This window comes from Homo sapiens, chromosome 19 (genome assembly GCF_000001405.40).
Source record: "Homo sapiens chromosome 19, GRCh38.p14 Primary Assembly".
Taxonomy (NCBI): domain Eukaryota; kingdom Metazoa; phylum Chordata; class Mammalia; order Primates; family Hominidae; genus Homo; species Homo sapiens.
The window spans coordinates 14,782,733-14,802,774 of record NC_000019.10 but is presented as its reverse complement, the minus strand read 5'-3'; the positions used below and the strand labels follow the sequence as shown (position 1 = coordinate 14,802,774).

The following is a 20,042-nucleotide window of genomic DNA, read 5'->3' as shown; positions in this document are numbered from 1 at the left end:
AATACGTGAGAAATTTTCAAAGTCATATGTCCCAAATATCTCACTCCACAGCCTTTCTTCCAAGACATGTCAGCGTGTCCATCATTTACCACTACTCATATGCTTTTCCCCAGACACTTGTGGATAGTTCATTTGTCTTTAAATGTTTTCAACAATCTCCTTTGAGAGAGGTTTCAAGGTAGGTAAAGGTAAGCTCCTTGTGTTATTCCTTCAGCAGTCCATTGGAATTATTATCTTTCTTTAATTATTATTTGGAGACAGAGTTTCACTCTTGTCACCCAGGCTGGAGTGCAGTGGTACAATCTCGGCTCACTGCAACCTCCGCCTCCCAGGTTCAAGCGATTCTCCTGCCTCAGCCTCCCAAGTAGCTGGGATTACAGGCGTGTGCCACCACGCCCAGCTCATTTTTGTGTTATTAGTAGAGACGGGGTTTCACCATGTCGCCCAGGCTGGTCTCGAACTCCTGACCTCAGGTGATCCACCCGCCTCAGTCTCCCAAAGTGCTGGGATTACAGGCGTGAGCCACCACGCCCGGCCCATTGGACATATTAAAACAGAACATTGCCATACATTTCCGCTATCTTCAGCACCAGGAACTGGTGGGACTGTGGGGTTGTCATATTCAGCAATGCCACTGAGCCAAGAAAGATGGTGGGAAAATGATAAATTGCCACAAAGCTGTCCAACCTGGTTTCAGTCACCTTTTTTAAAAAATTAAGGATTCACTTTGTTGCTCTAAACCTTTGACTGTTTTCCAGATTCCTGACTGATATGGTTTGGCTCTGTGTCCCCACCCAAATCTCATCTCGAATTATAATCCCCAAGGTTGAGGGAGGGGCCTGGTGGGAGGTGATTGGATCACAGGGGCAGTTTCTAATGGTTTAGCACCATTCCCCTAGTGCTGTCTTGTGATGGGATTCTCATGAAATCTGGTTGTTTAAAAGTATGGTGCTACCGCCTTAGCGCGCGCTCTCTCTCTCTCTGCTGCCATGTGAAAAAGGATGCTTGCTTCCTCTTCCCCTTCCACCATAATTGTAAGTTTCCTGAGGCCTCCCAAGTCATACAGAACTGTGAATCAACTAAACCACTTTCTTCATAAATTACCCAGTCTCGGGTAGTTCTTTACAGCAGCGTGAGAATGGACTAATACACTGATCAAGTTGATTATGACAGCTGCCACGGTATTATCTATGTTTCTGTGAAGTATTGGTACTTTGGAGTTCTCTACCTAAAATTCAAAATATATCCTAAAATCGCATTAATTTAATACGCAGTACCTATAAAATTTTTTAACCATATTTTACCAAAATATTTTTTTAAAGCATAATGTCTGACTGGCTTTCCAGTGACAGAACAGAAACTCACAAAACGAACATGTAAAATAATGTAACATATGATCACATAAACAATGCAAATTATTGTAAACATGTCAGATGTTTGCACTGAAAAAATGAAACATTGGCTTTATAAACAAAGGTTGGAATAGCTGAGAACAATGTGTGAAAAGTATCAACTCCATGCAGATAGCAGGGGGAAAAAGCATAGTTATTGAGCTCCTGTTTTGCATGCATATTAGGTAATGAGGAATGAGGGAAGACATGGAGGAGAACAAAGGTGAGAAGAGCTGAGAACTAGAAGCTGTAAGTGTCCAAGACCATTGCTACTCAAATATTAATGAAGCTGCTACATTGTCTGGAGTATATACCCTGGGGTTCATTGGCATGCACTAGGAAAATTTAGAACACGGACACACACGAGGAGTTCAGAGGCGGAGGTTTAATAGGGAGAAGAGAAGAAAAAGAGAAACACCTCTCTCCATAGAGAAAAGGGTCTCCGAGAGGAAAGGACAGGCTGGTGGTGAATGCGCAGAGTTTAATAGTCCCCTTTGAGGAGGCAGTGTCTGATTTACATCAGGCTCACAGATTGGTTCCATCAGGTATGACATTTTCATAGTGCTCAGGGAAGGCTGGTGGCCCCACCCTAATCTTACTTTGCAATTGGACTTTCCAGTTGATCTGCGCCATCTTGTCTGCTCGTGGCTGACAAAGAGAAGGGAAGATGGAGCCACCATCTTGAAAACTTCTAGTCCTTAGTTCCTGCCGGCATTCACCCGTGCAAGCTCCCAGCTTGTTTGTGTCTGCAGCTCGCCTTTACAGGATGCTCTTTGTTAGAAAATGATTTGGGGCTGCTTTTCATTAAAAAGAAAAGCCTCACTGAGGACTCCCATAACCTTACTATCTGCGTAAGTGATTTTTTCTTAACTCCTATATCACTAATATGCATGTGAAACCCTTGGTGATATTGTTAAAATGTAGATTCTGAATCCGTAGGTCTGACCAGGGATTCTGCATTTAAAGAAACTCTTGTTGATCTTGTTGGTTCATGGACAACACTTTGAGAAGCCAGGCTATAGAGGGTACAAGTATTATGGAACTAACACTACATTTCCAGATCCCGATGGTAGCAAAGAAAAGGATGGAAGAATTTCAGATGCCCCAGAAAAAGACAGCAAGAAAAAGGCAATCTTTTGTTAATTGATTCCTTCACTTAAAATTAAATGTAACCAAATTTCCATGTTGCCAGTGTGTTGATAATTGACTGTTGCTTTTTTCTCTCTTGTGGCAGTTATTTTATCCCCATGGAAACAGGAAATCAAACACATGCCCAAGAATTTCTCCTCCTGGGATTTTCAGCAACGTCAGAGATTCAGTTCATTCTCTTTGGGCTGTTCCTCTCCATGTACCTAGTCACTTTCACCGGGAACCTGCTCATCATCCTGGCCATATGCTCAGACTCCCACCTCCACACCCCCATGTACTTCTTCCTCTCCAACCTGTCTTTTGCTGACCTCTGTTTTACCTCCACGACTGTCCCAAAGATGTTACTGAATATACTGACACAGAACAAATTCATAACATATGCAGGCTGTCTCAGTCAGATTTTTTTTTTCACTTCATTTGGATGCCTGGACAATTTACTCTTGACCGTGATGGCCTATGACCGCTTCGTGGCCGTCTGTCACCCCCTGCACTATACGGTCATCATGAACCCCCAGCTCTGTGGACTGCTGGTTCTGGGGTCCTGGTGCATCAGTGTCATGGGTTCCCTGCTCGAGACCTTGACTGTTTTGAGGCTGTCCTTCTGCACCGAAATGGAAATTCCACACTTTTTTTGTGATCTACTTGAAGTCCTGAAGCTCGCCTGTTCTGACACCTTCATTAATAACGTGGTGATATACTTTGCAACTGGCGTCCTGGGTGTGATTTCCTTCACTGGAATATTTTTCTCTTACTATAAAATTGTTTTCTCTATACTGAGGATTTCCTCAGCTGGGAGAAAGCACAAAGCGTTTTCCACCTGTGGTTCCCACCTCTCAGTGGTCACCTTGTTCTATGGCACGGGCTTTGGGGTCTATCTCAGTTCTGCAGCCACACCATCTTCTAGGACAAGTCTGGTGGCCTCAGTGATGTACACCATGGTCACCCCCATGCTGAACCCCTTCATCTACAGCCTGAGGAACACGGACATGAAGAGGGCCCTGGGGAGACTCCTCAGTAGGGCAACATTTTTTAATGGTGACATCACTGCAGGACTTTCATAAGTAGCAAGGCTTGGACCATTGGGAGGCACTTTTGGTGGTTCTTGAATGTATCCAAACATCAATGTATTCTCTTTTAGTTCTGGAATTACCATATCTTATCGTGTCTTTGATACAGGAGCTAGAAAGAAATTATTTAGGTAGATAGGGAGGGCCACAGAGTCCTTGGCAAGGTTTCCCCGTTAACAAAAAGCAGCCCTCAAAATCATTTCTTTTCTAACAAAGAACAGCCTGAAAAATCGAGCTGCAGACATAGATAAGCAAGCTGGAAGCTTGCATGAGTGAATGCCGGCTGCTGCGCCAATAGAAAAGGGCTAGCTGGGGACCAGTCATGTTCAACATGGAGGCTCCCTCTTCCTTTTCTTTGTCAACCATGTGTACAGCAAAGGAACAGGCAACATGGGGCTGCCCAGGTAAAGAACCCATCTGTATAATAAAAGATTAGGGTGGGGCAGCCAGCTTCTCCACATGCTATGCAAATGGCACACCTGATCCAACCAATCTTTTATGGCCTATGTAAATCAGACAACACCTCCTCAAGCTAGTTTATAAAACCCTGTGCATTTCACCATGGAACTGGCAACCCATTTTCTCTGGGACCCCTCTCTGCACATAGAGCTCTTCTCTTTCTCTCACCTATTAAACTTCTGCTCTTAACCTCACTCTGGTGTGTCCGCATCCCAGTCTTCTTCCATGGCTGTGGGACAACAAACCTCAGGTGTTACCCCAGACAACTATGCTGCTTCATCTTGATTTTGACAATTTTTGAAGACGGTGTATTAACTTTCTAGGGCATCTGTAACAATGTGCCACAAATTGGGTGAGTTAAACAATAGCAATTGATTGTCTCACATTTCTGTAGACTATGACGCCTGAAATCAAGTTGTTGGCAGGGCTGGTTCCACTTGAAGGCTGTGAGAAAGATTCTGTTCCATGCCTTACCCCTAGCTTCTGCCGGTTGCTGGCAGTCTTTGGCTTTCCTTGACAATATAGAAGCATCACCCCAATCTCTGCTTTCATCTTCAGGTGATGTTCTCCCTCTAGGTGTGTCTGTGTCCAAATTTCCCCTTCTTATATGGACAACATTCAGATTAGAGGCCAACTCTACTCCACTATGGACCTCATCTTAGCTTAACTAATTACATTCACCGCAGCCCTATTTCTAACTGAGGGCTTTAATGTAACATATGATCACATAAGCAATGCAAACTATTGTGAACATCTCAGATATTTGCAATGAAAAAACTAAACATTGGCTTCACAAAGGTCAGAATAGCTGAGACCACATTCTGAAGTTTTGGCGGTAAGGACTTCAACATATGAATTTGTAGAGAATGAAAATTCAACCCATAAAAGACAGTTTCATCAAGACTAGCTTTAAATGCAAAGAATGACCAGCATCCCAAATTGCCCATTTCTGTTTTTTTTTGTTTTTTTGCAAATAAAATTTTATTGGCATATAGCCACACCCACTTGTGTACATATTATCTGTGGCTGCTTTCATGTTACAAGAGCAGATATGAGTAACTGCCACAGAAATCATCTGACCTGGAAAACCTACCTAAAATATTTACTCTCTGGCCTTTTTCACTGTGAAGGTTTGCTGACCCCTGAATTAAAACATTGCTCTCACTTCATCTCGTCTAAGTTAGATTTTTTTTTTTTTTTTTTTTTTTGAGATGGAGTCTTGCTTTCTCACCCAGGCTAGAGTGCAGTGGCGCAATCTCGGCTCCCTGCAAGCTCCGCCTCCCGAGTTCATGCCATTCTCCCACCTCAACCTCCCGAATAGCTGGGACCACAGGCACATGCCACCACACCCAGCTGATTTTGTTTTTGTATTTTTAGTAGAGACGGGGTTTCACTGTGTTAGCCATGATGGTCTCAATCTCCTGACCTCGTGATCCGCCTGCTTCAGCCTCCCCAAGTTCTGGGATTACAAGCATGAGCCACAGCACCCAGCCTAAGTTAGATTTTTTTTAAGCATCTCAGCATACCATTAAAATTTTCTAATGTACATGAAATTCTTTGCAAAACTGCATTCTTATTACTGTGTAATTAGAAGGGTTTTGTTCTATACATAGAATGCTAACTCAAACAATAAGTGATCCTTTCCTAGTAATCTAAATATTAATTCTCATGATGGGTGGGACCTTCATACCCCCTCTGTGTAGCAAAATCTCTGACATAGAAGGAAAGTGTGGTAAATTCTTGTTGAATAGGTAAACCTAAACTAGTATATGCAAATCTTGAAAAAATAAGTAGAATTAACAAAGCTGTGAAGCTAGAAAAACTTTCAGCTACTCTGTAGTTAAGTCTCACAGAGATTTTGAGTAACACCCTTATGTGAAGTCGCCATTGTAAGATTATGTCATTATTCACCATCACGCACATGTTAAAGCTAATTCAGTGCCGTCGTCTTCCAGGGGAGTGATGTAGAACAGGAAAGACTGAATGAATGGTCAACTTTTCATGTAACTCACTCAATTAGTGGAAACGGTCCTTCCATTTCTTTGTCTTTTTTTTTTTTTTTTTTTTTGAGATGGAGTCTCACTCTGTTGCCAAGCTGGAGTGGGGAGTGCAGTGGCACGATCTCAGCTCACCGCAACCTCCACCTCCCGGATTCAAGTGATTCTCCTGCCTCAACCTCCTGAGTAGCTGGGACTATACGCACGTGCCACCACGCCCAGCTGATTTTTGTATTTTTAGTAGAGACAGAGTTTCACCATGTTGGCCAGGATGGTCTTGATCACTTGACCTTGTGATCTGCCTGCCTCAGCCTCCCAAAGTGCTAGGATTACAGGCGTGAGCCACTGCAACCGGCCTGGTCCTTCCATTTCTAATTGAGGAGAGTGATGCTGAAACTGCCTTTGCAAAAAATCATCGCTGAGAACATTATGACGGTGAAAGTGGTCTGACCTAACTAACTCCATCTTGCCTCTAACCTCCAAGCTGTCCTTGCTCATTCCTGGGCTCTAACTTTGGGAGAAACTTAGTTTATAGTTTAACTTTGAAACAAAGACGGTAACAGCCCTTTCCCAAAACCAATTCCCTTCCTGCTGGGAGACTAGACTGCCTTCGTAGGACTAACATATTAGCCACAAGATCAGAAACTATGGTTTAAAAGTCACGCAGTTGGCCGGGCGCGGTGGCTCACGCCTGTAACCTGAGCACTTTGGGAGGCCGAGGCGGGTGGATCACAAGGTGAGGAGATCGAGACCATCCTGGCTGACATGGTGAAACCCCGTCTCTACTAAAAATACAAAAAAATTAGACGGGCGTGGTGGTGGGCACCTGTTGTCCCAGCTACTCTGGAGGCCGAGGCAGGAGAATGGCGTGAACCAGGGAGGCAGAGCTTGCAGTGAGCCGAGATTGTGCCACTACATTCCAGCCTGGGCGACAGAGCGAGACTCTGTCTCAAAAAAAAAAAAAAAAAAAAAGAAAAGAAAAAAGAAAGTCACGCAGCTGGAGACTGCAAGATTCTGAACCTCCCCAAATTGCTTCTGGGGACAACATCACTATTGTAAAACCTAAGATTGGTGCTTGAGCTACTTTGCAGACCCTGTACTCCATTGCTCAGCTGGCACCACCCAGACTGATTAACTCATCTGGTCTTGTGGCCCCTCCCAGGAACTGACTCAGCACAAAAGGACAGCTTTGACTTCCTATGATTTCATCTCTAACCCAATCAATCAGCACTCCCCACTTCCCAACTCCTACCCACCAAATTATTCTTTAAAACCCCAATCCCCAGATTTTCAGGGAGACTAATTTGAGTAATAATAAAACTGCGGTCTCCTGTACAGCTGGCTCTACATGAATTTAAACTCTATTGCAATTCTCCTGTCTTGATAAAGCAGCTCTGTCTAGGCAGCAGGCAAGGTGAACCCATTGGGCAGTTACAATGGTGCAATCAACTCTATTGTTGGACAGCTCCCAGCATTAGAGATTGAAAAATCTGAGTCAAAATTGCCTTCCCTATAACGTCTATGATTAGTTATTTTGAAGGAATCGATCAATTTTCAACACTCTTCCATGAAACCACTAGTCATTTCTTAGACAAAAGGTTTATTCCTGTCTTCACCCTTACGAGTTTTCTATACTCCTTAGAAGGTGGAATGAGTTCCTTTGTCAACAACTCCTCTTCCACTGACATTCTATATTCACTCAGTTCTATCACTGCTGCTTCTAAATTGTGAGACACAAGAATGCACCCAACACTCCAGGCATTTACTGATGAGCACTGAGCATGCTTCCTTGAATAATCTGCAGCCCCAGGCCAATGTGCATGTGTCTGTGTTGTAAGCCACAAGACACATATTAAACATTAATTAGTAAAGTTGGATAAATAGAAAAGGTCAGCGTTAGGGGGTGGGCGGGGCTGAGAGAGTGGGAGAATTGTCAAAAGAGTAGAAGAGTTTCATGGAAGAAATGTTGGGAAGTGAAATGTCAGGATAATTAAATGAGTGACCATCAGATGTGGCTACTAGTAGATCACCAGGGATATAAACAGGTACCAGTTGGTTGGTGTTAAAGCTGAAACCCAGATTGGCTCCTCCTCATCTTCTCAAGTTCTCAGTGCTGCAACATTCCATGATTTCGTCTTCTAGCCTCTTCTTTTCCCTACCTGTCCTCACTTTTCCCTATCTGTCTCTCACCATGTGTCTCTCTAGTTAATGTCATGCTGTCTCATAGACTTAAGATCATATATGGAGGCTAAAGAATCCAAAATGCGTATCTTCAGACAAGATGACTCCAGATTCATAGACCCAACTGCCTCTTAGACAACTCCACTTGGAAGCTTAACACACATTTCAAACCTGACATGCCCAAAATCTTAATCCTAATTACTCCCAGCCTTCTCCACTCACAATCTTCCCATCTATGTACATGGCAAAACTCCATTATTCCAGCATCTCAAGTCAGAATCCCTTGAGTTGTACTTAACTTCTTTCTCTCTCTCTCTGTCTCTCTCTCTCTCTCGATTGTATATAAATGGAATCATACACTATTTTGACTTTGTGAGTGGCTTCTTTCACTTAGCTTAATGCTTTCAAGGTTCATCCATGTTGTAGCATGTATTGGTATTTCATTATCTATTTTGCCAAATAGTACTCCATTGTATAGATAGACTATATTTTGATATCCACTCATCAATATGAGAGACACTTCAGTTTTTCCACTTTTGGACTATTATGAATATTCTTATAAACGCTTGTGTACAATTTTTTTTTTTTTTTGAGACAGAGTTTCACTCGTTGCCCAGGCTGGAGTGCAATGGCGCCTTCTTGGCTCACTGCAACCTCCACCTCTCAGGTTCAAGCAATTCTCCTGACTCAGCCTCCCTAGTAGCTGGGATTACAGGCACCCACCACCACACCTGGCTAATTTTTTTGTATTTTTAGTAAGACGGGTTTCACTATGTTGGCCAGGTTGGTCTCGAACTCCTGGCCTCAGGTGGTAGGCCCGCCTCAGCCTCCCAAAGTGCTGGGATTACAGGCGTGAGCCACCATGCCCAGCCTTGTGTACAAATTTTTGTGTAGACATATGTTTCCATTTCTCTTGAATATATGCCTCGGAGTAGAATTACTGGGTTGTATGGTAATGCTATGTTTAACATATTGAGGAACTGCCAAAATATTTTTCTTAGTGACTGCACCATTTTCATCTCCACCAACAATGTAGGAGTGTTCCAATTTCCCCATATTCTCATCAAAACTTGTTAATTGCTTGTCTTTTGTTTTATTTTAGCCATTCCAACAGATGTGGAGTGGTAACTCGGTGTGGTTTTAATTTGCATTCCCTAATGACTTATGATAAGACTCTTTACAAATGTATATTGACCATTTGCATATCTTCTTTGGGGAAATATCTATTCAAATTATTTGCCCATTTTTAATTGGGTTATTTGAATTTTATTGTTAAGTTGTAAAAGTTCTATGTATGTTCTGGATATAAGTCTCTTGCCAGATGATTTTGATGCATAAACATTTTTAATTTTGATGCAGTCCTATTTATCTAATTTTGTATTTTGTCATTTGTGCTTTGGATACCATATCTAAAAATCCACTGCCTAAACCAAGGTCAAAAAGATTTACTTCTGGTTTTTTTTCTACAAGTTTTACAGTTTTAGCTCTTACTTTTAGGCCTATGATCCATGTGGAGTTGGTTATTTAATGCAGTGTGAGGTAGGGGCTTAACTTCATTCTTTTTTTTTTTTTTTTACACATATTGAGCCATTTTAATAAAAAAAGCTAGTCCAAAAAAGGGTCTCATTCTATAAAGATTAAATCATTTCCAAATCACAGTGAAACGAACTTAATTAACCAATTTTGTTTTCTACTATATGCCTTAGAGATACCTCACTAAAATTTCGTATCTGATACAACAGAATAACATTTGCAGAATGTAATATTGTAGTGACAGTACTGAGGTTCATTGTTACAGACTATTAAATGGTTACATCTTAATTATTTATACAGAATATTGGTCCAATAACATTAAAATAGAGAACAGCATCTGGAAATTTATCTCATTCAATGTTCGGAGATAAAAGAGTTAAACATCCTTTCCATTATTTTCTGCAGTAAGTCCTTGTTCACAATGAAATCTGATGGCAATTAAATTCTGGCATTTTCCCCAGCTACTGTATGAAGAGGATGCTGAAGGCCATTACTATACAGCATACTTCAACATAAGGACTCTTCCGTTCACCAATTCTGGCACACTTCCAAAATATACCCAACAATCCAGTTTTATTTCTGTCCAGGAGGCTGGGTGCCAAGGATCGAATATAAGCACAGGTACATATAAGCAGCAAGATTACAGTCAATAGACTCTGAATATTGAAAATGGCAGACATAGCGAGGCCGGCGATGCCACAGCCACATCACCCTTCCAGGCCCCAAGCAGAAGCTTAACTTCATTCTTTTGCATGCTGAAATACAGTTGTCCCAGAAACATTTCTTAAATAGACCATTCTTTCTCCCCAGTGAATTGTCTTCACATCCTTGTTGAAAATCTATAGACCATAAATGTAAGAGTTTATTTCTGTACTCTTGATTCTATTTCATCGGGCTATATGTCTAATCCTTATGCCCATACCACACTGTCTTGATTACTGTAGCTTTGTAGTAAGTTTTAAAATCAGGAAATGTGAGTCTTCAAGTTGGTTCTTCTTTTCCAAGATTCTTTGACTATTGTGAATCCTCTACCATTCCACATAAATTTTAGGGTCATCCTGTCAATTTACGCAAAAAAGTTAACTGGGCTTGTGGTAGGGACTATGTTAAATTCATCATGTTGGGGAGTACTTCTATCTTATGAATACTAAGCCTCCCAATTCATGAACATGGGATGTCTTTCCATTTCTTTAGATCTTTAACTTCTTCCAACAATGTTTCATAATTTTCAATGTACAAGCCTTGTACTTCTTTATACAGTAGTATTTGTACATCTTCTTTCACAGGATAATTATAATGAGCAGCTAAACCAGATGATCCTGTCTCCTGGAAAATGAGGACAATATTGAACTGTCATTCACTGAGCCAGGAGTATCTTAAAAATGCTTTTTCATGTTTGTTACAAATAACTTTTCATGGCACCATTATAAAAGAAAATTTCCAGGAAATGTTTGACACTCATTTGCTGTAGAATTTAGGTGTTCTGATCCGTAGAGCATGCTCAGCTAACTCCCATTGCAGGTAAGGTGCTATGGCCCAATTTCACACATACTTTGGATTAAGTCCTCTGCTTCAACCTCCTTTTCTAAAAAGATCTTCCTCAAGTTGAAAATATATAACCAGGAAAACCAGCCTTAACAGACTTTCTTAAAATAGCATAAGAGAGGAAATTATTGTTCAGTCCAGGACCTTCATGTAAAGCAAACAACTGATCTCAATTGCCCAGCACTTTCCTGGTTTAGTACAAAAAGCCCCAATCCCAGAAAAACATCTCAGTTACAGGAAAACCAGGTCACCTGAGCTCCCTACCTGCATGCCCCATGTTCTTCACTCTCCTTTTCTAAAGAGTCACTAATTTAATTCATTCAACAAATATATTTTTATTACTCACCAAGTGCAGCACACAGATCAATAAAGATTCAATTCCTGCCTTTACAGAGCTTACAGATAATTTTTTAATGTTTCCTGGCTAGAGTAAAATCAGAACTTTGTAAATAGAATCTCTTCACTCTTCCATTTTATAAACTGAGCTATGGAAGTAGGCATATATTTCTACTGCACATTTTGTAAAATGTATTTATAGATAACGTTATTTCATCCTCGGCATGATACCTAAATCCAGAGCAGTTCCACCTAAAATAATATTCCCTCTGGGCTCCCACTGACCAAATTCATACCGATTGGAACATCAAGGAAAATGACTTTAAATTATTATAACCTATTAAATAAAAAATATCCATGAGTTCATAGTGATACATAAAATACCAGCCAATAAATGTAGAAGATATGATAGAATTAGAAAATCATGATTTTTCAATATCCAGTAAATGACCACTAAAAATGTTGCATATTGGAGAACAGGGTATCCCTACAGTGCCAAAGAATCATCTCACAAATTACTGATTAATTACAAGTGCCAAAGTGTACATTTACAATGTGGAGATCTGATAGTCACTATCTGAACTCAGTCTCAGGCTTAACATTATCAATACAGGGGCAACCTGACATTATATATCTCCTGATAAGACATGAAGTTACAAAATCATGTTTGTGGCAAATAAAGAATTATTGACAAATCAGCCTAATCTTAATCTAATCTAGTCTTTAGACTGAAGGTTGGCAAACTACAACATGCAGACCAAATTCACCCTGCTGCTTGTTTTTACAAATATGGTTTTATTGGAACATGGCTACACTTATTCACTGATGTATTATTGACAGCTGCTTTCAACCTACAATGTCAGAGTTGAGTTGTTGTAACAGAGACTATAAGGCCACAAAACCAAAAAAAAAAAAAAAATTACTATCTGACTCTTTATAGAAAAAGTTTGGTGGCCCCGTTCTTCTAGATCTAACCTTCAATCTACATGAAATATGAGGGACAGAAGAAGTTAAGTGACATGATGAGGAAACAAACTGGCAAATCCAGAACATGAGACATTCAACAAGAAAATTGACCTAGACTCTTCTAAAGTCATTATCATGAAAAAAGTGGCCAGTAGCTACTCTAGATTAAGACACAAAACCAGAAAAACAATCAAATTCAATATCAGTTTTGGTGGAAACTCTAGTTCAAATATATAGTATAAAAGATATTTTGGAGTCAAGCGGGATAATTTGACTATGCATTACATATTAAAAGTTATTGTGAAATTATTTATTCCTTTGGGTGTAATAATAGTATCATGGTTATATAAAGAACATTCTTATTCTTAGAATTTGTTGAAGAATTATTTAAGACAGAAGTGCTGGCCGGGCACGGTGGCTCACACCTGTAATCCCAGCACTTGGGGAGGCCGAGGTGGGTGGATCACCTGAGGTCAGGAGTTTGACACCAGCCTGACGAACATGGAGAAACCCTGTCTCTACTAAAAATACAAAATTAGCCAGGTGTGGTGGCACACGCCTGTAATCCCAGCTACTCAGGAGGCTGAGGCAGGAGAATCGCTTGAACCCGGGAGGCGGAGGTTGCAGTGAGCTGAGATCGGGCCATTGCACTCCAGCCTGGGCAACAAGAGCGAAACTCTGCTGCAAAAAAAAAAAAAAGATGGAAGTGCCATGATATCTGCCACTGACTACCAATGTTTTGTATGTGTAAATCTGTGTATATAGAGAGAGATGTTTTCTAGGGTGCCACTATAATAATATTGTTCCATCTCTATGGATGATATATGAGTGTTTATTGTATCAATCTTCTGAATTTTTTCTATGTTTTAAAATTATAAATAAAAGTGTCAGGAAAGCAAATGCATTAATTAGTTCTTAATTCATTAAGGGTATACTCTCATGAATTCCTAGACATCCAGATCAAATGCTTTTTTCTCTGCACAAAGTTAATTTTGTCAATAGATGTTTTATAAAACTGTGAATATGTATGGCTATAAGGTGATGGATTTAAAATCTAAAAATTAAAAATAAAATTATTAAAACGTTAGGAAAAAATGGAGGGGATCTCTACTTCTGCCTAGAAAATAGAAAATGAAAATGAGTATGGCTCCAAACCCAAGAATAAGAAAATCCAAATAAACTACAAAACCATTAATTTTCTTGAACCCATTAGAGAACAGAGGTAATGGGACAAGAAAGTAGCCTGAAACCAAAGGAAAGACAGGAGTGTCTAAAGAGAGACCATAAGGAGTAGTGGCGAACCTAAGGCAGAGCACAAAAGGAAGTTATCTGGGTGTCAATACAAGTGACTAAGAAGAATTCATCTAAATTTTTAATGAATTTAATAGCCCCAAGAGTGGTCACTGATGAAAGTATTAGAACTCTGCAGGAGTGCAAAGAATGTGGAGAGACTCTCTCTGAAATGCAGCTACATAGGGAAGAGCCACAGCTGAAGGTAGAACAACTATGAGACAAACAAACCCTCTTGCAAAGAGAGCCCTCACCCCAACACAAGACACCAAAGTAACACTCAAATAAACTGAAGCCTGGGGTTCACTGATTACAGACAGACTTAACCTGATTCCAGACAGACTTAACCTCCCACAAAAATAGCTTAGGAGAAATAATATAAAGATGTGCTCATTTCCAGTCATAAATAATACCTCATTGTCAGCTGCCCTACACAAATTGTCCAGCATTCAATCAAAAATTATGAAACACGGGCCAGCCACGGTGGTTTACACCTGTAATCCCAGCACTTTGGGAGGCCGAGGCAGGCAGATCACCTGTCAGGAGTTCAAGACCAGCCTGGCCAACATGGCGAAACCCTGTCTCTACTAAAAATCCAAAAAATTAGACGGCGTGATGATGTGCACCTGTAGTCGCAGCTACTTGGAAGGCTGAGGCAGGAAAATTGCTTGAACCCAGGAAGTGGAGGTTGCAATGAGCCAAGATCACACCACTGCACTCCAGCCTGGGCACAGAGTGAGACTCCGTCTCGAAAAACATTATGAAGCACAAGCAAAAGCAAGAAAACACAAACCACAGAGAAATCAGCAGAAACCAGACTTAGAAATAAACTAATAGGGAATTTAAAATAACTATAATTGGGCCAGGCGCAGTGGCTCACACCTGTAATCCCAACACTTTGGGAGGTCAAGGCAGGCGGATCACGAGATCAAGAGATCCAGACCATCCTGGCAAACATGGTGAAACCCCGTCTCTACTAAAAATACAAAAATTAGCTGTGCATGGTGGCACGCGCCTGTAGGCCCAGCTACTCAGGAGGCTGAGGCAGGAGAGTCGCTTGAACCTGGGAGGCCGAGGTTGCAGTGAGCCAAGATCCTGCCACTGCACTTCAGCCTGGCGACAGAGAGAGACTCTGTCTCAAAAAAATAAACTATAATTAATTTTTTTTAACTCTAGTGCAATTCTAGTTTATTGCATTCTCTTATCAAAACTCCTGAACCACGGGACACTGGCGCCACTCTGGCTGGTCCCTCCCAGCTCACAGTAGTCTCCCTCATTCTCTGACTCCCTCCAATTCCTTTCCAAGCTCTGCATTCTTCCAATTTCTCATACTTACTCTCATAGAACTCCTATTTCCTGGGCGCTCAGAACCACCAACATCCCAGCCCTAGATCCCTGAGTCCTATTCCTGGATTTCTGCAGGCCCCCGCACTGGGACCTCAATTTCGCTCCCTGCAAATGTGTGGTCTCTGACTTCCGGTATCGGAAGCAAGGATTTCCGGTTCCCACGCTCCTGTTGACAAAAACTTCCCGTTTTCGTTTTTTGAGGTTGGGCAACAGCACTATGAGAGGCCGAGGCAGGCAGATCACTTGAGGTCAGGAGTTCGAGACCAGCCTGGCCAACATGGTAAAACCCTGTCTCTACCAAAAATGCAAAAAATTAGCTGGGCATGGTGGCACGCGCTTGCAATCCCCGCTACTCAGGAGTCTGAGGCAGGAGATCGCTTGAACCCAGGAGGCGGAAGTTGCAGTGAGCCAAGATCCTGCCACTGCACTCCAGCTTGGGTGACAGAGACCCTGTCTCAAAAAAAAAAAAAAAAAAAAAAACCAAGCAAACAAACAATCAAAAAAAAAAAACGAGCTGACTCTGGACTCACGCAGGCCTGGTGTCTCCGATCCCAGCCTTGCCATTTTCTGGCTCTATGAACCTGGGTGAGCCGCATCGCCTTCCTGAGCCTCAGTTTCCCCATCTGTAAAACAGGGATTCACCCATTCACTGTTCCACAAATGTGCACCCAGGACCCACTGACACCAAGCGCTGCGCCCAGCTCTAACCTATATAAAGTTAAGGCAGAACACGAACATGGTTAAGTGCGTTCACCCCTCCCCCAGGCATGGAGCTGCTGAACTAGTTTTAGGAATGGGGAAATCAGAGCATGCGTGGACAGAGGGAGGACCACAGAGTGGACCACCCCCACTCTTCTCAGATTCCCCTCATTTGACCAAAAAGCCCGTCTACCAGGAGGTGGGACCCCAAGCAGGGTGCCCGGGCTTGGCATCCTAATCCGGGCCAGGAACTGACCCCAGCAGCCAGACAGGGGAGGGGGCTAAAGCTTGGGTTTTCCCACCTCCGGCTTCCCGCCGCTGCAGCGCGTGGAGCCAGCGCCATCTGTGGGCCGCCAAGGGGAGGTGCGTGCGACTGCCGGGGAAGTGGATGGTCGCCCCCGTTTCTCCCCGATCCGGGCGCCTCAGGCCCCCCAGGAGTTTCGGAAACAGCTCTCATCTCTTAAATTATCCTCCACATCCCACTTTTCCCAGTTGTCATTTCCCAGCTAGAACTCATCGTTCATGTATTATTTATGCACATTTATTGAGCAGCTACTGTGTGTATTGAGCAAACCTAGAGCATTGCTGTAGGTTTCGAGTACAGAGAAGAAACAGAACAGGCCTGGCTCGGGCCTGTAACCCCAGCCACTCAGGAGGCTGAGGCAGGAGGATCACTTGAGCCCAGGAGGTGGAGGCTGCAGTGAGCCATGAAGGCAACACCACACTCCAGCCTGGGCAACAGAGCAAGACCCTGTCTCTAAAAGTAAGAAGAGGCCAGGTGCAGTGTCTCGGCCAGGCACAGTGGTCACGCCTGTAATTCCAGCACTTTGGGAGGCCGAGGCGGGTGGATCACCTGAGATCAGCAGTTCGGGACCAGCCTGGCCAACATGGTGAAACCCCCTCTCTACTAAAAATACAAAAATTAGCCAGGCGTGGTGGCAGGCGCCTGTAATCCCAGCTACTCAGGGGGCTGAGGCAGGAGAATTGCTTGAAAACGGGGAGGCAGGGGGCGGGGGCAGAGGTTGAACCGAGATCGTGTCACTGCACTCCAGCCTGGGTGACAGAGCAAGACTCTGTCTCAAAAAACAAAATAATTAAAAGATAAAAAAAAATTCTGAGGGAAAGGTATTCCAGGTGGCGAAAACAGCACATGCAAAGGCCCTGAGGCTGGACTGGGCCTGGTATATTTGTTTGGGGAATAGTGAGGAAGGTGCTGTGGCTGGAGCCAAGTGAATGAGGGGAAGAGAGCTGGAGGTGACAGGGCAAATCACACAGCCAAGCCTTGTGGGCCTTGGGGAAGACTGGATTTTACTGGGTAAGGTGGGAGCCATAGAGGGTGCTCAAGGAGAGGAAGAGCTTGGTCTGAACGGATTCAGATGCTCACAGGAAGAACAGACGGCCAGACCAACAAGACAGCTGTCACAGATACAGGAAGAGATATTATATCTCCCTGCGGTTGGTTTTGTTGCTTTTTCCCATGACTCATGGGGAGAGGAACCAGTGGGGCGAGGAGCTGGGAGGACAGGCCACCCCAGACTTCCCCTTCCCAGGAGTCGGGGAGCCCCCACCCCACCATGTCCCAGGACACACTCGGGCAGGGCTGCCAGGAGTGTTTGTGTTTCACCCTCTCTAGATGGGTGGAAATGAGGTGTGGCTGGGGAGGTGGTGGGGTGGCCAGGAGGGAAGCTGGGTCCCGGAGAGGCAGGACCCGTGAAGGCATCGGGGAAGGGGGTGCCCCCTCTGAGAAGGCACAGGGGTCTTGCTGTCTCCTTTCTCTATTTGAGTATCAAAGGCCTGCTCAAGCCCGAAGCTAAAGGGAAGGTCAAGGGTGTGGGGGCGTCAGGCTGTGGGTGGCTGGGTTTAGTCACAGCTGTGACTGCACTGCCGGTAAGGACCCTGGAGGCTGGACGTCAGCCCTGCCAGGGTTGGGCAACATCCTGTTGGGGAAGTCTCTTCTAGTTATGGTTTTCGCTTTTCCAGCCCTACTCTGACCCTAGTGGGAGAATTACAGGCAGGGGAGCACAGGATGAACGCGCGCGTTACCAGAAACAGAAATAATCCCCTTTAAATTTTCCCAAGAATAGGATATACACATGCAAAAAATAATAATAATAATGAAAGAACTTAGACCCTACGTCATAACCATACACAAAAAGTAACTATATGAGGCCAGGTGCGGTGCTTCACGCCTGTAATCCCAGCACTTTGGGATGCCGAGGCAAGGGAATCACCTGAGATTAAGAGTTTGAGACCAGCCTGACCAACATGGTGAAACCCTGTCTTTACTAAAAATACACACACACACACACACAAAAATAGCCAGGGGTGGTGGCACACACCTGTAATCTCGGCTACTCGGGAGGCGAGGCAGGAGAGTAGCTTGAACTCAGGAGGTGGAGGTTGCAGTGAGCCAAGATCACGCCACTGCACTCCAGCCTGGGTGACAGAGAGAGACTCCATCTCAAAAAAATTAAATTAAATTAAATTTAAAAATAAACATAAGTATCCGTTTGAGTGTCTGCCTTCAGTTTTCTCAGGTGTATACCCAGGAGCAGAATGGCTGGATCACAGGGTCACTCTGCAAGTAACTTTTTGAGGAGCCGCAAACTGTTTTCTATGCCTGGAAAGAAGTGAAAGGGAGACCTCCATCCGAGGGACAGAGCCCTGGGGATGGGTTGATTCTCATCAATGCTTTCCCATCGTTTCTTTCTGGTACTGGCTGGGACCGTCAGTGCCATCCATGGCCCTAATTCTCGGGAACCCACAAGCCCACAACAGAAGAGGCCCAGAGGCATGCGGAGGGGTTGACCCGGGTGGGCACCCAGCCTGAATAAGCCCCCTTCCTCCCCTGGCCTTCCCCACCCATCGAAAGTCAAGGGAAGGATTCTGAGACCCCCATCCTCACAGTGCCCCCCAGAAGCCTGACCCCATCCTTATCGGGACATCGGCACCACCCTGCTCAGAAGATTTTGCAAAATGGGGAAGACACTGAGAGCTGCAAGAAGGTGATAAAAATGCCACCAAATGTCACACAGCGTTCCCAGCTCAGGGCTTCTTGTTGGCTGCCACCAGTTCCCCACCCCCACAGCCACCCCTGAGCTGTTCCCCTCCCCCACCCTACTCTCTCCTTTGCTTCCTCTAATCGCTTCTCCTTAAAACCTTTACACATTTTAAAATTCTTTTTTAAATATTTGTATAGAGCCTCAGGTTTATATAATTCATGAAACAATGTAATTCTTGGGACCATCGGTCTATCCATGATCAGCTTTATTTTACTTACTTATTTTCTGAGACAGAGTCTCACTCTGTGGCCCAGGCTGGAGTACAGTGGCGAGAGCTCACTGCAACCTTGAACTCCTGGGCTCAAGAGATCCTCCCACCTCAGCCCCGTGAGTAGCTGGGATTCCAGGCACATGCCATCACTCCTGGCTAATTTTTGCATTTTTTGGTAGAGATGGAGTTTTACCATGTTGCCCAGGCTGGTCTCGATCCCCTGGGCTCAAGGGATCCTCCCGCCTCGGCCTCCAAAAGTGCTGAGATCACAGGCATGAGCCACTCTGCCTGGCCGATTTTATCTTCCTTGATACAAACTCTTTTCAGAATTCTCTTTGTTTTTGCTTTGGTCCCTGATAAAATCACATGTGAATATAACCGCAAAACACCACATGCCTGCATTACATGGCGTTACGTTAAACAACCATCATTTTGGCTGGGCGCAGTGACTCATGCCCGTCTCTACTAAAAATACAAAAAAATTAGCCTGGCGTGGTGGTGTGCACCTGTAATCCCAGCCACTTGGGAGGCTGAGGCAGGAGAATGGCTTGAACGCGGGGGGCGGAGGTTGCAGTGAGCCGAGATTGTGCCACTGCACTCCTGCCTGGGCGACAGAGCAAGAGACTCTGTCTCAAGAAAACAAAACAAAACAGCCATCATTTTAGGAAACATTCATATGTGGAAACTACTATGTGTATTGTTCACAATTTGCGGGAATAAAGAACTTTGCTTTGCAAAAAATATGTAAATTAAAAAATAAAAGGGAAGGAAGGCATACCCATGAGCCTCCCTCATCACCAAGAACTGAG

At 43.6% G+C, this 20,042-nt stretch overlaps 1 protein-coding gene and 1 pseudogene across 2 annotated transcripts in view, besides 4 other annotated features; one reads left to right on the top strand and one right to left on the bottom strand.

Annotated features, from left to right (window-relative positions):
• The window catches only part of OR7C1 (olfactory receptor family 7 subfamily C member 1), a 36,671-nt gene extending 32,411 nt beyond the window's left edge, over positions 1–4,260 (top strand). The window contains exons 3-5 of one of the 2 annotated variants that reach the window (NM_001370485.4): positions 2,011–2,242; positions 2,331–2,519; positions 2,626–4,260. In NM_001370485.4, the coding sequence (NP_001357414.2) occupies positions 2,639–3,601 (963 nt within the window). In that variant the 5' untranslated portion in view covers positions 2,011–2,242; positions 2,331–2,519; positions 2,626–2,638 and the 3' untranslated portion in view covers positions 3,602–4,260. Of the gene's footprint in view, positions 1–2,010; positions 2,243–2,330; positions 2,520–2,625 lie in introns of those variants that run through there. The other variant, NM_198944.1, reaches the window with a different exon arrangement.
• Positions 1,513–2,712: an enhancer, noted in NCBI's record as "MED14-independent group 3 enhancer chr19:14910875-14912074 (GRCh37/hg19 assembly coordinates)". NCBI's record gives its function as "activates an origin of replication core promoter dependent on BRD2, BRD4, P300/CBP and CDK7 cofactors, and independent of MED14, by STARR-seq in HCT116 cells {active_cell/tissue: HCT116}" and the evidence as "EXISTENCE:reporter gene assay evidence [ECO:0000049][PMID:35650434]".
• Positions 9,820–10,510, bottom strand: TMEM167AP2 (TMEM167A pseudogene 2; annotated as a pseudogene).
• Positions 15,757–16,256: an enhancer, noted in NCBI's record as "H3K4me1 hESC enhancer chr19:14897331-14897830 (GRCh37/hg19 assembly coordinates)". NCBI's record gives its function as "activates a minimal SCP1, AML or CMV promoter by ChIP-STARR-seq in naive H9 embryonic stem cells {active_cell/tissue: H9 hESC(naive)}" and the evidence as "EXISTENCE:reporter gene assay evidence [ECO:0000049][PMID:30033119]".
• Positions 15,757–16,472: a biological region, named in NCBI's record as "CRISPRi-validated cis-regulatory element chr19.2424". NCBI's record gives its function as "regulatory_interactions: DNAJB1".
• Positions 16,021–16,472: a transcriptional cis regulatory region, noted in NCBI's record as "candidate enhancer chr19.2424 targeted for multiplex CRISPR interference". NCBI's record gives its function as "positively regulates DNAJB1 gene expression with high confidence in K562 cells {active_cell/tissue: K562}" and the evidence as "EXISTENCE:mutant phenotype evidence [ECO:0000015][PMID:30612741]".